General features: G+C 49.8%; 1 protein-coding gene across 25 annotated transcripts in view, besides 1 other annotated feature; it reads right to left on the minus strand.

The window, feature by feature from the left end:
• MEGF11 (multiple EGF like domains 11) overlaps nucleotides 1-17,094 on the minus strand; it is a 358,452-nt gene that overhangs the window by 18,031 nt on the left and 323,327 nt on the right. For 14 of the 25 annotated variants that reach the window (NR_169555.1, NR_169554.1, NM_001385030.1 and 11 more), the window contains 9 exons: nucleotides 16,391-16,554; nucleotides 15,096-15,198; nucleotides 9,494-9,640; nucleotides 9,009-9,143; nucleotides 4,637-4,765; nucleotides 3,499-3,627; nucleotides 2,819-2,947; nucleotides 2,141-2,269; nucleotides 408-644 (listed from right to left, as the gene is read on the minus strand). Coding sequence is in view for 20 of the 25 variants with exons in the window: in NM_001385030.1 (NP_001371959.1) it covers nucleotides 408-644; nucleotides 2,141-2,269; nucleotides 2,819-2,947; nucleotides 3,499-3,627; nucleotides 4,637-4,765; nucleotides 9,009-9,143; nucleotides 9,494-9,640; nucleotides 15,096-15,198; nucleotides 16,391-16,554 (1,302 nt within the window). In the remaining 5 variants the exon portion in view is untranslated. Of the gene's footprint in view, nucleotides 1-407; nucleotides 645-2,140; nucleotides 2,270-2,818; nucleotides 2,948-3,498; nucleotides 3,628-4,636; nucleotides 4,766-8,361; nucleotides 8,779-9,008; nucleotides 9,144-9,493; nucleotides 9,641-15,065; nucleotides 15,199-16,390; nucleotides 16,555-17,094 lie in introns of those variants that run through there. The other 11 variants (NR_169558.1, NR_169556.1, XM_017022670.3 and 8 more) reach the window with 4 other exon arrangements.
• Nucleotides 8,461-9,030: an enhancer, noted in NCBI's record as "H3K4me1 hESC enhancer chr15:66214128-66214697 (GRCh37/hg19 assembly coordinates)". NCBI's record gives its function as "activates a minimal SCP1, AML or CMV promoter by ChIP-STARR-seq in naive H9 embryonic stem cells {active_cell/tissue: H9 hESC(naive)}" and the evidence as "EXISTENCE:reporter gene assay evidence [ECO:0000049][PMID:30033119]".

Here is a 17,094-nt window from a genome sequence, read left to right on the forward strand (position 1 = left end):
GGGAAACAGAAATGGATGAGCTCTGGGCACTGGGCTCCAAGGTCTAGCCTCCTGAGGTGGTACAGGCATCAGGTTGGGGAGACAGTCCTCTGGAGAGCTTAGGAAAGTGACTGGTTAGTGTGGGTGCTCCTGAGGCCGAAGGCTGGTGAGAAGGATAGGGAAGCTCTGGGAAAATGGCAGGAGGCTCCCAACCACAGCTGCTCAGAGCTAGGGACTCAGGAAACAATTTTCCCTTGGAACCCCAGATATCTTCTCTAGGTAGGCTCCTGCTCCCCATCCCCACTGTCACTCTAGGGGAGACTGAGCTTCCACATTCAGCCACAGCAGCCAACCCTACAGGCACAACCATTCCTGGGGTATGTGTGTGTGGAGGGGAAGAGGAGGGAGGCCAGGAGCATGGCCCTTACCTGAGAGGGAGTAGTCGGTGCTGGTCATCCTCATGGCAGGTGTGTAGGAGACACGGGGAGCCAGGTCTCGGCCCTTCTCTTTCTGCCGCCGCCGATGCCAGGCAAATAGGCCCAGCAGCACCACAATGAGGAATAACAGGAGCATGATGCCTGTGACAGCACCCACCGAGTGCCGCTCTGCACCCAGTGCTGGGCTGATCTTGGTGTAGGGATTCAGCTCCTCCATCATGAGGGCAGCTGCGGGCAGAGGGAGGGCCTGAGCCTGGGGCTGGCCTTCTTGCGCTTCAGGTCTCCTGGGCCTGGGTTCAGATGCGTGTAACCCCTCTAATGTTAGGAGATCTGGTTCTGGCTTTGGCCCGATTCCTGAGTCCCTATGTGACTACCCCCAGCCCTCACTGTGCCTTCATCCCTAAAGGGGATGGAGTCTCAGGGTCATGACAAGGAGCAATTGTGACTGTCGATGTGAAACAATAAATATTATTTTACTCTGTTCCAAAAATGAGTTAACAGATATTAATTCATTTACTCTTCAGCCCTGTGAAGGGATTAGTATTTTCCTTTCACAGATGAAAAAACCAATTTATCAAAAGGTTAGGTAATGTGCCCAAGATTACATAACCTATAATTGGCGGAGTCAGGAAAAATTGAACACAGCTCCTCTCCCTGCTTCCTAATTGTGTGGCTCAGAGTCCCTGGTTTGCTCATTTGTAACATGGGGACAATAACCCCACCCTCCCCAGTCGTGAGCACCAAGTGATAGACTGGCAAGGAAGGCTCTTAAGTACTGTGCTGTTATTTCCAGGATGACTGCCCGCAGGACCCCTCTTGGTTATATATGTGAGGGCTGCCCCCACCCTCCATGCTGATGCTTAGTCTAGGAGGCTGTCCTGCCAGGCCCACAGTGTCTAGACTTCTCCTTGACTGTTGGCTGCTGGCTGAACTGAGCTGGCCAACATCACTAGGGAGGTAAATGTGCTGCAATATCGTTCTCAGTGATTTATCCTCAGAATGCAACGGAAATCTGTCTTTTGGCTCCTTTTCTGTAATGTGAATAATTGAGAGCCCATTTTCATCCCCCATCTAGAACCAACATGTTTGCAGCACATTATAAAGGCTTTTATATAACAAAGCCAGCATTTATTGGAGTGTTCACTTATGGGCCAGGCACCCCGCTGAATCTCTTACTCATACTGTCTCAACGTGATTCTCACAACTGGACCCTGGGACTCCATCCCCTTTAGGCCCTATGAGGTGTCATCCGACTGTAGTGCTAGAACCAAGGTTGAGCCCCTTTGGGCTCCTCGGCCTTCAGAGTAACCTTGTGTCATGGGGGAAGATGATTAATCTACTCTTCCCGCTTTGCATGTGGAGTAACAGGCCTAGCAAAATCAAATAACCTACCCAAGGACACCTGGCGGGTAAGGCAGAACCAGAACTTGGCAGATATTCTAACTTGGTCTGGTGGCCTTTCCATAGTACTAGCTTGTGGCTACCCTTGCTTGGCTCATGGGAAACTTGCCAAGGGTGAGCCTAGGGAGGCTGTGACTGAGAGACTGCCTGCTCCTTATGCCTCTTCAGCACTTGGAGCCTCTGCAGCCCACCCTATTCCTGCTGTCCTCACAAATGTGAATAAAGGGAAGTATCATCAAATCCAGCTGTTCGAGTTGGAATCTCCCTAGAGCTGCCATGGGGCCCTTTCCACAGACCCCGGGGCTCTGCCACGTGTGTATTACCTTGGTCACACCTGATTCCTTTGAAGCCAGGGCTGCAGTAACAGGTGCCGGTGACATGGTCACAGGTGGAGTTGTTCATGCACTCACATAGCTGCTGACACCCATAGCCAAAGGTTCCTGGGGCACATCCTGTGTGGCACAAAGAGTTAGGGTAGAGGACCCACTCACTCTCCACCCCTCCCCTTCCATGTTTAGACAGCTATGGCAATAAGCCTGTTTTGCCTCCCACTGAGTGAAGCCTATTCCCTTAGCTCCTGTTGAGGAGCATTTATAGCACTGAGTGGGGGACACAGGGACAGAGGAGGAGTGAGCAGGGCCCACTCACCCCTACTTCCTCCTCATGCAACACATTTAAGCAGTATCTTCCACCTGCCATGCCCTAATCTGAATGCCATAGGGACTTTAAAGAATAATAAAAAAAAAATCCTGCCTCCCACTATTCTCTCATTACTTGCTATGACCTCTGCCCTAAATGCCCCCACCAACTGAAGGGAGAAATTCTTCAAACAATAATGTAGGCATGACCTTCCTCAGCATTTTTCCTTGGAAGTTGTCCCCAAAGTCAAGGGACCAAGGGGTACAGAGCCCTGAGTGAGTGGACCTTGAAGTGGGAGCCATCCTCTGCAGGAGGGTAGGGCCCAGCAGCATCACCCAGGATCAGGGGTCAGGGCAGCTTACTCTGCTCACAGTGTTGCCCGGTGAAGCCTGTGCGGCAGGTGCACTTGCCACTGATGTGGTCACAGCTGGCGCCATTCTGACACTGGCATACGCGCCCACAGTCCTTCCCAAAAAATGCTGCTGGGCAGCCTAGAGAAACAGGATTTCCAGTCACGAGAGTTGCTGCTGGGTGGGGACAAGGGGGACAGCAGGAACCAGACCTGTCTTCTGTCTCTTTTTTTGCTGAGCATGGGATGAAGACTAGTGAGACCCTGCACCAGAGTTGTCTCCCTGCTCAGGATCTTCATGCTGAAGTGGTAGGGGCAAGGTGATCGTTGCCTTTCCAAGACAGAGGGGCCTTGGAACCACAGGTCAGGCTAGGGTCTACTTCCTGTGTGGACACAGGCTGCTCCTCCCCACTCTGGGCCCCACTGTCCAAGGAAGGTCTGGTCTTGGTGATTGCTGGAGTACCTTGCAGCCCTGACCTTCCAGGACTTTGGGCTTGTCAATCCCCTGAATCCAGTCAGGTCTGGAGCTGCCCCTGCAGAGCTCCTCAGTTCTCGTGGGGCAGGAGTCAGGTACCACCAGTCCTGGGGCTGCCTGCATTCCTCCCTCCCTGCTGGTCTGGACAATGCCCACAGTGGCCAGTAGGCCGCAGCATGGTATTCTAAGTGGCTGGGAGGCCAGGAGGTGGGGCTTACGCTGTGTGCAGAAGAGTCCAGTCCAGCCAGGGGTGCAGTGGCAGGCCCCGTCCTCGGCGCTGCAGCTCGCCCCGTTGTGGCAGCTGCATGCGTGGAAGCAGGCGGGGCCCCAGAACCCGGGTGGGCAAGCTGGGATGTCGGTGAAATGCAGAGGGTGAGGGGAAGGCAGAGAGGGGCAGACGGAGAGGGAGAAGAAGGGGGAGTACATGTCAGAGCCAAGATGCCAAGATGGACCTGGCTGACATTTCCTGGCTTTCAGGGGCTTCATGCACTGTTCCCAGAATTCCTGCACTTACTTCTTGGCTTAGTTACCCAGGATTCCCATTAAGCCCAGATTCTCTGCCCACTCTCCAAGTCTTTGATGACTGACTCAGCAGGACTCTGAGGGCCCCCGAGCCTCCCCTCTCAGGGGACTGATTTGGAGCATGCGGGTAAACACTGTGGTTTACCGTGTATGTACTGTGTGTGTTTCCCCATGAGAATGGGGACTTTCCTAGGGCAGGAGCTCTCTTCTCTCAGTTGGTGAGCTCCTGATGATGGAGCCTGTCTCCTCATCAGAATGGAAATTCCCTCAGCCATCTAACTAGGACCTCCCCAAGGGTACTGGCTAGGTCTCACCCATCAGACAAGGAGCTCCACAGGGTCTCTGTCCTTAGTTTGGGGGCTTCTGGAAAGGGGCTGTTCCCTTCACATCAGATTGGTGCACTTTACATGAACAGCCTCAAGGACATCATTCACATGGGCCACCCAGAGGGCACTGCACCCTCCTGAGGTGGCTGCCCGGGCCTCATCTCACTTCCCTACTCCCAAACTCGAGCATGCTGTTGCACCACCTCTTCCCCATCCAAACTCGGGCTGCTCCTTGTGCAGGTGCTAATGGAGTGTTAAGTCTCAGAATTCATAGCATTAATGGTACTATCAACAATATCAGTACCTTTGATACCAGCAGTTAATACCAATGATCAATCCTAATAATCCATCATGTTAGCTATAGAGCTAAATGGGGCTCATTCCTACATGCAGAAGGAGATTTCATCCCTGGAAGTGGAGGCACCAGGACAGAGAGGTTTTGGGCAACAAAGGGAGAATTTTTGGGCCTGACCCCAGGTAGGGGCATTCCCAGGTGGCAGCAGCTTACCCTGTGAGCAGTCCTTGCCAATCCATCCAGGAAAGCACTGGCAGGAGCCATCGATAGGGCTGCAGGTCCCGTTGTTGGCACAGGAGCAGAGCTGGGCACAGTCCTGCCCAAAGTATCCTCCAGCACACACTGTGGGCACAGGGCAGCCTGGCACCCATCCTCCCACCTGTGTTCCTCTGACCTCCACCCACAGCCTCATCCCTAGAAGTTCCCAAGCCACAGCCATGATCACCCAGGGGTCATGGATCTGGATGGAGACCACGCCCGCCTTGGTACCCTTGTCACCCTTCTCCATTTGCACATAAATGAGTTGCCCCTCTCATGCCTACAGCTGCATTCTTCAGAAGGCTCTATTATGATTGCCTTTAAGAACAGCCTGAGGCCCATGGAGGTAGAATCACCTGACTTAGGTCTCACAGATGAGAAGTGGGAGGCTGAGCACTGTACTTCTGGACTCACAGTCCAGTGCTCCCTGTACTGTTCCACAGCCTTCTGCTTTCTATTACCACTTTCACCAACATCACGGATTCCACAACCACGAGGGTAGAGAATATGTACAGCTGGACAGAGAGGGACAAATGCCATGTGGCAGGCCTGCCTGCGGTTTGACTGTTAAAGGACCAGCCCTGAATGTCTGTCCCTGCCTGCCTCTTTCCTCTGACCTGTTGCTCAAGCCTCTCAGCTCAACATCTTCCTCAAGAAAGCCCTCCTGAGTTCACAAGGCCCTCTCCACCACTGGTATTTCCAATTTGAGTCACTTGGAGGATTTTGGTCACAGACCTTCCTGGAGGAGTCACTGCTTGGTCCCTGGAGGAAGAGCTGGTTTCCTCAGTCAGGCTGCAAAGCTCTTTTAGGACTAGGTTTGAGTATTCATTGAGTATTTAACCTTTTGTTTCCCTGTGCAATTCATCCCCCACCTGCTTTCTACAGCTTGAGCTCTCTAAAGCACAGCTTTCTTCATGGCACTCCTATGTCCTGCTTAGAGAGCCTCAGTGGATTCCCCATCGCCACAAAATAAAGTCGATCCTGGAGAGCAGCACAGAGAATGATGGGAAGGTGTTGATTCTTGAAGATACATGACTTCCCCAGGGCCCAGGTCTCTCACATCTTGGGCTGAAACCCTCTGCTTTATACCACACTGCCTCATATTGGTAGTTCTTCCCCAGCCAGACGGTGGGCCGCTAGTGGCTAGGATCTGAATCTACTCAGTGCCTCTCCTGGACGTGATTGGTAGTTGAGACAAATAATACAGGCAATGGTGGACCAGACTCTCCAGTCCAAAGCCTTGGATTTAGGTCTAAGTTTTCTTTATGTAGTCAACAAACATACACATGACACTTAAATGCACCAGACACTGTTCAATGTGCTTCACAAATACAGGCATACCTCAGAGATGTGGGTTTGGTTCCAGACCACTGCAAGTGAATATTGCAATAAAGCAAGTCACACAAATGTTTTGGTTTCCCAGAGCATACAAAAGTTATGTTTACATTATACTGTAGTCTATTAAGTGTGCAATAGCCTTATGTCTAAAAAACAATGTACATGTCTTGATTAAAAAACACTTTATTGCAAAAAAAAAATGCTGACACAGACACGAAGTGTACACGTGGTGTTGGAAACATGGCACCGACAGGGCTTGCTTAAGGCAGAGTTGCCACAAACCTTTGGTTTTTTTGTTTCGAGACAGAGTCTCGCTACGTTGCCCAGGCCGGAGTGCAGTGGTGCAATCTCGGCTTACTGCAACCTTTTCCTCCCAGGTTCAAGCGATTCTCCTGCCTTAGCCTCCCCAGATAGGCACGCGCCACCATGTCCGGCTAATTTTTGTATTTTTAGTAGAAACAGGGTTTCACCATGTTGGCCAGGCTGGTCTCGAACTCCTGACCTCAAGCCTTGGCCTCCCAAAGTGCTGGGATTACAGATGTGAACCACTGCACCCGGCCAAACTTTTAATTTAAACAAAACAAAACAAAAAACAACAAGCAAAATGCAGTTTCTGTGAAGCACAATAAAACAAGGTATGCCTGTATTTAGTTCACTTACTCTTGGAATACTATTATATAGTCTCACTATTATGCCTTATCATTAACTCTGCTTTGTAGATGAGAAACTGAGGCAGGTTAAGTAACTTGCCCAAGGTCACACAACTAGGAAGTTGTACTGCTTGCTGGCTAAGTGCCTTTGAGCAAACTCTCTGTTTCCTCATCTTTGAGGTGGGAATGGGAACCCTCACCGACTGTCCTAGGACCATGGTTAGTAGCTGTGGCAGGCTGGCTGATTTGGGGCCCCATGCTTCCCCTGGCAGAAACCTTGGCTCCCTTCCAGGAAGTTCCAGTGCCAAGAGGGTGACATGCATCTCACCTGTTTGCAGCTCAGGCTCCAGCTTTTTGAAAAGCAGGCTGCCCAGCCTCTTCTTTCCTACCTCTGGGAGGTGCTTGATTTGGGGAACCCATCCCCAAGTCCTGGCCCTCTGTGGGGAGTAGGGTGCCAGAGCTGCTCCCCCTACCCTACCCCCAAAATGAACTCTGAGCTTCTCTAACAAGAGTCTTATCTTTGAAGTCTTTCTCACATACATGAGGCCAACAAATTTACCCACAGAACTGCTAATATGATCAATCTAATCCATTAATTGGTCGACTTCTTAGCTGAATCAAGAGTAAGGCAAAGAGAGGGGCAGTGGACAGAAGGGGGGCTGGTGAAAAGAAAACATCTGGTTATATTTAATCTGTGTTTAATGATTCTGCGTAAGCAGTGTCTGTAATTTGTAACTTGCTGGAAAGCCAGTCATTAGAAGGTGTCAGTTCAATTTTTTACAAGGTTTAAGACTTAACCAGGGCAGTTGCCATTAATAGCAAACTCCATTAGATCTATATGTGGGAAATACTCATTAGGCCAGTGGGCGATAAATCAGACAACGCAGCATCTGAGAGTTACTCCTCGGGCTGCATGGGTCCTAATTTAGACCTAGACTATCTGTATTGATGGCCTAGTCTCCTGTGTTTAATAAGTGAACCTCGACATGTCAGGTTATGATTAAACCATCCTAGGAGGGCTGCAAGTAAATGAAACTGTCACATATGTTTCTCTGGGGCTCAAACTTCTCATGACCTCAAAGCATCATGTAGTAAACTTTCTATTCATACATATTAACAGCCCACACACTTGCAAAAATAGCCCAGCTCAGCAGTGATTATTCATCAAAAGAATGGGTTCCCCTGGGAGGTAGTGAGCTCTCAGTCAACAGAAGTATTTAAGCAGAGTCCAGATGAGATTTCTTGCATAGATGACCTTGAAGTTGCTTTTAGCCCTAAGTTTAACTTACCCTAAGCTCCCTTCACTCCTTTCAGGTTAGAATGCAAGTTCTGTAACCTTGTGTTCAAACCTGTTCTGAAGGTCCCAGCCTACCTTCTGAGCCCCATTTCCCACCCCCAGCTACCATATCCATCAGCTGTTCCCTGTAGCATGCCCATGTCTCTGTGCTTTGCCCAAGCTGCTTCCTCTACACAGAATGCTTTTCTTCCTTTTCCACCTTTCAAGCTAAGGCCCAGCTGAAGTCCTGCATGGTCCATGGAGCCTTCACCCAAATCCACACTGTCTTGTCCTAAGAAAGCCAGGGATGGCAATAGGCAATGATGTGTGGAGGCAGCTCCTACCTTCTCACTGGTTGTTCAATATTTGGGAATTTTGTGAATGATGTTAAACCATTGGTACCTTAAAATCAGCCGTGGTAGGAATATTTATATTTTAAAAATCTGCAGATGTTACAGATCAGGGTTTTTCCCCCACAAAGAGCTGGTAGGGTGGAACACCAATGCAAATAAGCTTTATATCTCTTTTCAACTCCTGCTGAGTGGTAGCAGTTCTTGGAGTCGGTATTGTGAAGGATTCTGAGGTCAAGTCAGGAAAGCATATGGGGAGGGATTAGGGATGGTGGCCTGAATATGACGGGGAGAAGGGCTTGGAAGTTGCCATCTCCAGCCAGAGCCAGCTCCTCTGCACTCCCACAGCATTCTCTGCCTTTACCCTTGGCACTCGGCACAGACCACATGGTGCCACTTCTGATGCAGATCTCTGTGCTTGTTTCACTTTTCATCCCTTCAGCATGCATGTCGGAATCAGAATTTGTTTCTGCCACTTGCTAGCTGCGAAATCACAGACAAATCATTTCACTTCTGTGAGGCTGTTAACTGTGTTAGGGCCTTTGTCTCATGCCATGTGGGGCTCAATTCTCATAAAGGCAGCCCAAGTCCTGAAGAGGGAAGGAGCTACCTCCATAGCGTATGATGAAAATCCCCAAGCCCTTCCTTCCCTGCCACTTTCCTCCCAGAACCTCTCACCTCCCCACCCAGTACCTTCCCACTGGAGACAGTACCTTGGTTGCAGAGAGCTCCAGAGAATCCTGGGAGGCACTCACAGATGCCGCTGATGTGGTGGCAGGGCCTGCTGCTGTGCACGCAGAGGGGGCATGGCTGGGCGCAGCCGTGGCCATAGAACCCAGGGGGGCAGACTGAGGGTGAAGGGAAGATGGTGGTCAGCAGCCCAAGAGACCCCAGCCAGCCTAGCTACCCTTCCTGTTCCACACTTCTCAGAAACATGGGGAGACCTGCATCCTTCCCTCATCTTGGAGGGCGCATCCCTTTCTGCAGAGAAGAGCTGTGGTGTGGCCCTGTTTCCATTGAGTAGCTGGGCTGGGCCCCAAACCTGGGGACAGAACTGCAGAGGGAGAGACTAGAGGGAAGGAAGAGATGGGGGCTGATTCAAGAGCCCAGCCTCTCTCAGGCCATGGCTAGTTCCAACTGGAGAGGGCTAGGGAGGATTAGCCCTCTGAGCTCTTCGGGGTCAGGGGATTAGCCTTACTTCTCTGGCATAAGGGTCCTCGGAAGCCAGGGGCACACTCGCAGCTCCCATCCTCTGGGGAGCAGGAGCCTCCATTCTCACAGCTGCAGGAGACAGAGCAGTTGGGGCCCCAGCGGCCAGGTGGACACGTGCTGTCACAGCGGATGCCTGTGGGCCAGAGGCAGACTCGGGTCAGTGGTAAGAGAGGTGAGGATGAAGGGAAGAATGGAGGGAAGGGGGACAGTGCAGTATGAAGAGGTGGAGGCAAGCATAGTGCATCCAGGAATGTAGAGGAGAAACCCGGCTGAGGCTTGGCTGGTCATGGAGGATTTTCAGGAAGAAGTGATGTCCAGAGTTCTAAAAGTCGAGGAGGAATTGACCAAGCAAATGAAATTATATGTACAAAGAGCAGGAGGCAGGAGAAAGAATCATGTCTTGAAAGAAATTACAAATAGCAAGTGTGGCTGAACCACAAAGTGCAAAATGGGGTACGGCAAGAGATGAGATTGTGGGAGTAAGAAGGGACCAGATCACAAGGGCCTCTTCTGTATGGCATCCAAGAACAGGACCGGGAGGAACCAACTATGGGCAAGTAAGTGCCAGCTGGGAGTGAGCCATATGCCCACGCATGTTAGCCCAGGAGCCACTGGTGCTGCTGGGTCCCTGCCAACCCACCCAGGGAGGGGCTCAGAGAGTAGGTAGGATCTTTTCAGATTCTTCTGACCAGACTCCTCAGCGCAGTATGTGTATCATTCATGCATACATACAATAGAAACCAGTACTTTGCAAAAATTACATTTACTGTCACTATGTATGTTGGACTCTGATGTTTTCTCTGTACTATGATGTATTCGATTTCAGCTTTTAAAATGCTAGTTGTAACCCAACAATTTGATTTAATGACCCTCAGTTTGACAGAGGCTTATGGGGGAATGGATGGAATTTCTCAATAAGAAAAAGGAACAAAGTCTATAATAGTCTTTTTGGGCTCAGGTAGAGGAAATGTTTGTTAGGTTCCCTACAGCCTGAAGGTGAAGAAGGAATTTTAAAAGGCCTGAGGCTGGATGCCCCAGCTCTGGGGTAGGTTTTCTTCCCAGGCAGAAAGGCTTCCAGTCTGACATGCATTAGGGAAATGGAACATGTGAGCCCAGGAGATTGGCTTGGCTTCAGCAGGTGAATATCAGAGGCTCAGAGAGGGGCAGAATTAGCTGAAAAATCATGTCTGCCTTGTTATAAGGACAGTGATTGTGGGAAAGAGAAAGAAAGGAGAAAGACACTCATGCCCAGTGAACAGAGCCAGCCCTACCAGCAGCAGGAGAGCAGTGGGACCAATTTAGAGGCAGACTGGAATTGTACAAGCCCACCTGGGCTGGCGAGGAGAGGGGAGGGAGGGTGGAACCACCGGAGAGGGGAGAGGGAGGGAGATGCAACAGGCTTTACTCATCCTCCTGTTCCTCAGTCTAGCCCAGCATCTGTGCTCCCTCCCTGTAATGTCTCAGTTTTGCAGCAGGGTAGAGGCTTCAGATGCCACTCTCTGGGAAATGGTTGCGGGTGGGTAGGTGGGGTGTGGGTGGGGGGGGGGGCAAGTGGTTTCCTCCCCAGGGAATGGGATCTGGCAGCCATATTTGCCATATTTTACCCATTGACAGGGGTCTCTCCCAGTGGTGGTTCAGGTGCCCAAGAGGTGAACCCTGGACAGGCATCATAGATTGACTAGAGGGAGCTTGGGAAAGTGGAAACCATAAAACTGTTCAAGGTTTTGGATCCATCTTCAAGTTTCTCCTTTTCCTGGGCATAACAAAAGCTGTGATCTGCCATAAGGCTTTTTTTTTTTTTTTTTTTTTGGAGACAGGGTCTCACTCTATCACCCAGGTGGGAGTGCAGTGGTGTGATCTTGGCTCATGGCAACCTCTGCATCCGGGGTTCAAGCAATTCTGCTTCAGCCTTCCGAGTAGCTGGGATTACAGGTATAAGCCACCACCACAGCTGGCTAACTTTTGTATTTTTAGTAGAGACGGGGTTCCTCCATGTTGGCCAGGCTGGTCTTAAACTCCTGGTCTCAAGTGATCCGCCCGCCTCAGCCTCCCAAAGTGCTGGGATTACAGTCGTGAGCCACTGTGCTGGCCTAGGATTTCTTTTGCCTATGGTTGTTGGAAACCCAGGATTCAGACCACAGGCCTAGGGACAAAGCTGTTCCTTGCACTGAGGTGGAGCTTTGCTGTCCACAGGGCCTCCAATTCCACTGCACACCAGGCACTCTTTGCCAGCTGACCAAGGCACATGTGTCACACGTAGACAGTGCTCTCTCCTAAAACTATAGGTATTACTGTGTTCATAAAACACAGTGTATGTGAAAGCACCACTGAATTCGTGGCAGCTGGTTGCTATTGTGTTTATCCCAGCCAGTGGCTATTAAAAGTATAGCTACTCTCATTGTGGAATCCTTAGTGTTTTCATGTCAAAAGGGGTCCTCATTTATGGAGATTGAGAACCATGAGTGTACCATGTTTATTCTCAGACTGAAGGTGGCTGCAAAGTCCCACTGGGTTCTAGGACTTGGCAGTTATTATATTCTGGGCCTGTTTCTGTGGGAGTGGGGCTGTTTGTGGTTCTTATATGTCCCAAGACCTTCTTGGAGCTTAAGACATGGGATCTAAGTGGAAAGAAGGGTCAAGGATTTCCCCATATGGAGTGCCCAGTTCCAGAAGCAACTTACTGATATGATCAAAGGGGCTGGCCTTGGCCTTTGTGGGAGGCTCCCAGCTGTAGTTTCTGAAGAAGCAGCTTCAGTTACCTTCCTGGGCCCCAGTTTTCGCTACAGTTGGATAGGGATAGTCCCCCTCAGAGGTCCTTTCCTTTCTTACTCTAGGGAACCCCCTTGCTTTATTTTTCAGGACTCCTCCCCACCCCCACATCTAAATTGGTGGGTAAACCTAGGCTAGGAATCCATACATGTTGATCTCTAGTTCATGCAGTGAAGCCAGTAGCCACTCAGCAGCCCATATCCTTCAGGGTCCGTTTAGGGCCCTCCTTCTCCAGGAAGCCTTCTTGGATGTCTGCCCAGGGAGACAAGCATCTCTTTGATAATCAGCAGCATACAGCTTTGTCTCTACCTGTTACTTGAAAGCTTCATACACAAGACCTGTCTCCCCTGCCAGCAATTTGAAGACAGGTACCATGGCTTACTGCCACTTCTGACTTTGCTTACCTAGGTGCTCCTTATGGACAGGATGCCATCTTGGTCATTTTTGCATCTTTGGTGCCCAACAGTGTTTGGCACACAGTAGGTACTCAGAAACTGTTGCTTTTTACCATTTACTGCTGAGTCTGGCATGGTGCTGGGCACAAGGTAGCTGCCAATATAAAGGCTTGGTAATTGCTTGAGTCAATAAATGCTAGTTGATTGAATAAATGGTTCCCCCTTAAGATACAATCCTGAGTCTTTCATCCTATTGGCCCTAATGTCCTGAGACCCCAGACAACTCCTTTTCCTTATCTGTGGCATGAGAAGGTTGGTGGAGATAATCTTTAAAGCCTCCCCCACTTTAAGGGGAAAAATTATGAATGGTTATAGGCCAACTTCCAGTTTATTTCAGTAAACATTTAATAAGCACATATTATGTGCAGGGCAAGATGAATAAGACAAAATGCCAACTGTCAGTAAGCCTATGGCTTATGAGGGTTAAGGGGAGACACATGCACAGCTCAGGGCAGCCCCAAACCTGTGCCAAGCCAAGGAATGAGCGGTGTGCCAGGGACTGGGAAGTTAGGCACAGATTTTTCTTGAGGCAGAGGTGAGTGGGGAGGGCTCAGTGGGAGGCCCATCTCTGTCTCTCATTGGCCCCCTTCTGCATGACAAACCTCAGGACATCAATCACTTCTTTGAAAAGACTTCAGGACCACATTTGGGGAAATTAGGTTTAGAACAGCAGAGGCCTTGCTGAAAGGTGGTTCACCAAAGACAGAATTTTTAAGCACTAGATGTCATTAAAATCTTAATTGGCTCACTCAAAATTAAGGCAATGAAAAATTAAAGTTGATTTCCACTTGGCTCCTGCTGAGATTCTAGGGTGCCAGTGACCAGGGTTGAGCCTTATTCTTTACTGACGGGCAGGAGCCAGCAGGGCAGGGGAAGCCAGGCTGGAGATACTGCAGAGGAAGCAATGTCCCTGGCTCTTGGCTGCTTAGAAACTTTCTGGTTATGAACACAGGCTGTGCAGCAACCTGGTGTTAATTATTTATCTGAGAACCTATACTGCCAGAAATGACTATATTTCTTTCTCTTTGCTGCTCATCACCTTGGGACTGGCTAGTAGGTTCACTTCTGAAATGCTTATTAAGCACTTCCTGTATTCATGGCCTGCTTTTACTGAGCACTTACTATGTGCCAGGCACTGTTAGCACTTTATAGGTAGTAACTCATTTAAGCTTCAAAACAACCCTGTAGTTGCAAGGATAATTATCTGTATTTTATGGATGGAGAGTTCAGGCCCTGAGAGGTTAAATGACTTGCCCAAGGTCATAAACCCCAGCAGTCTTGCTCCAGAGCTGGGTTCTTAACTACCGTGTTATCCATATCTCAGTGTGTGGCAGGCAGTGGATACAATGGTGAATAAGGCAGATGCCTCCATATAGCTGATGGCCACATTAGGGAGGCAGATAATAAACAGTTACCACAGTTGTCATTGAACTCTGATTTAAGTACCACAATAGGAAAAGTGTAGGGTAGAAGAATTAATAAAGGGAGTGCTTTTGTCTTGGTCAGGTTGGGGTGGGTATTGTAGCAGGGGAAGTGCCTTCCCAGAGGAAGAAAGCTTTACATTGAAATCTGGTAGACAAGGAGTTATCAGGTGAAAAGGGGAAGGAATGATCCAGGCAGAGGGAATGGCATGTGCAAAGGCCTGGAGTCAGGAAGGTGGTTGGCTTCCTGAAGAAGTAGACTGCAGCCCTGGTGGCTGGAATGTAGTGAGCCACAAAGTGAACAGAGTGAGGTGGAGTCAGGCAGAGCCAGATCCCGTGGGCCCTGGGCCATGGTAAGGATTTAAAATTTTATGTAAGAGTCGTGGGAAGCCACTGAGGCATTCTGAACAGGGACTGAAATGGCAGATCTGGGTTTGAAAAGTTGACTCTGGCCACCAGGTGCAGAATGAATGCAGCTGGGCAAGAGCGGAGGCCAAGGCAGTGCCAGATGCGGGATGGTACCCAGCAGACCGTGTGGTGGCAGTGGGATGGAGAGAAGTAGATGGATTCACCTTGTATTTAGGAGGCAGGCTGACAGGATAGATATAAGGACCAGGATTCTGAGACTGGACTAAGGAGAAAGGCCCTTGTCCCCTTCTCCATCATATTCTCTAGATTGAGCACTTACACCAACCATATGTCAGCTTTTGACCTACTGGAGTGACTCCAGTGCCTTGGACAGAGCTTATACCTAATAGATGTTCAATAAATATTTACTTGAATTAAATGGAATGGAGAACTGGAACCCAGAGCAGATAAAGGGAAAGATGCATACTCAGGGATCAAGAAGAGAGGTATTGAAGAAGAAAACGGTCAAGAGAAGTAGGATACCAAGAACCCAGTTTCACAGTACCTGGGTGGTGGCACAGCAAGGGAAGGTTACCTGTCCATCCGGCCAGGCAGCAGCAGTGGCCTGTGACGGGGTCACATCCATCAGCATGGCTGCAGTCACAGTGTTCACTGCAGTTCAGCCCAAATGTGCCATCCTGTGGAGAAGACAGGGAGAGAAAAATGATCAGACCCAAACCTCCAGAGGTTTGTGTACTTCTATGGATCTTTTCTTTAATTTTTACTTTTGGAGGGTCCAGTGAGATCTACTGGATCTTGATGACAAAACTGAGCCAGAACCCCACAGAGATGCAGGGAGACTGGGGCTGGGGCACAATGGGGACACGTTTTGTAAGTGGGGATAACACAGCCATGAAGACACTCTGAAGAATTATTTGGCTGCATTAACAGGAGTATGAGGTTGAGAAGGAGGTGATACTCCTGCTCTACTTCTCAGTGGTCAAGCTCAAAGGCCTGTAATGATCATTAACTAAAACTGTAAATGAAAGTGCACTTTGCAGATTGTAACACATTGATCATCTGTGAGGAATGACTATGATTTATTCTTTGTTGCCGGGGAAGAAGGTAGTCACCAATTCTTATATGCTCATTAGGTATCAAGAGCCTCATATACTTAATTTTTCTTAATCCTCACAGCAATTCCATGATATGATTCCATTGTATTCCCACTTTAAAGATGAGAAACAAGGTTAGAGAGGTGAAGTAACATGCTCAAGGTAACAAAGGATGTGACAAAGCCAAGATTTGAACCCAGGATTGCAGGACTCCAAATTGCTCATTAAGGACTGCATTGCTCATCCAGCAATATCATATCAGTGGGTTTAACTTATTTGTATCTCAGACCTATAAGATGAAGTGATTAAGTCTGGGTGGTTATTATTGAACAGTGCTTGCTTTAGTCACCACACACTCTGATCATAAAAGTACAGACTGTTGGAACCAGAAGGAAGCTTAAACATTATCTACCAACGAATGGCAACTCTCATGGATTAGTAAGGGCTGTCTTGTAGCACTGGGTTGTGAAGGAATCTGAAGCTGCATTTGAGCTCAAGTGCCAGAGTCAATAATGTTTACCAAGAGCAGCACGGGAAAAGTGATGCCATGTCACCACATCTGCCAAGTATTTGCCATTTTATAGACGAGGGGGATGAGGGCCAAAGTAGTAAAATAGCCACAGAGAGGTTAGGACTAGGACTGTGACCTAAATCCAAGTGTCCCATCACCTAGCTTAGTGCTGTTCTCTGTGCACTCTTGTGGACGAACTAACACCAGGGAAAGGGCGTGAGGGGATGCGGAGCCCAACCTGTCCCTCCCCACCCTGGCACTCACCGGGCAAGGCAGCTCACAGGTGTCTCCCAGCCAGCCAGGAGTGCAGGAGCAGGAGCCGTCTATGGGGCTGCAGGCTGCCCCATTGGCACAGGTGCAGCTCTCGTTGCAGTTCAGGCCCCACGTCCCACTGGGACATGGCAGGGTGCAGTCCAGGCCCTGCCACCCTGAGGGGAGGGAAAGGGACTGTCACTTCTCCATCCAGGCCCAGTGTGTCTTTTTTGCCCACTCCCCCCAGCTCTGCACACAGCATTCCACCCAAACCACTGCTTTCCTGAGGGCTGGGTTAGAACACACATTCCACACAGAGTTCAGAAATACAACAGAGCTGTTAGGAGAGCTGGGGCTAGAACCCAGGTCTCCTGCCTCCGGGTGCTCATTGTTTGTGCTGCAGGCAGATGATCCTACCTGGAACAGGCACCAGCTCAGGTGGGGAGTGCTGTTTCTGCCCAGGGTGGAGTCTGGCAGCTTATCTCAGGACCCTCTGTTTGAGGGACGTCTGATTCTCCATTCTTAGGCTGGTCACTGGCCTCTTTGCCTACCACACCATTTCTCCCCTTCCCTGTTCATGGTGGGGGCTGACCCCTGCAGGCTGCACATCCCAGGCTCCCCCTCAGCTGGCTCCCAGCCAGGCTGCCTGCAGGAGACCGGCCCACAGACTGGAGAGCGGGAGCAGGAGAGACAGGTGTGTCCTCTCCCTCTTTCTC

Source organism: Homo sapiens, chromosome 15 (genome assembly GCF_000001405.40).
Source record: "Homo sapiens chromosome 15, GRCh38.p14 Primary Assembly".
Taxonomy (NCBI): Eukaryota; Metazoa; Chordata; class Mammalia; order Primates; family Hominidae; genus Homo; species Homo sapiens.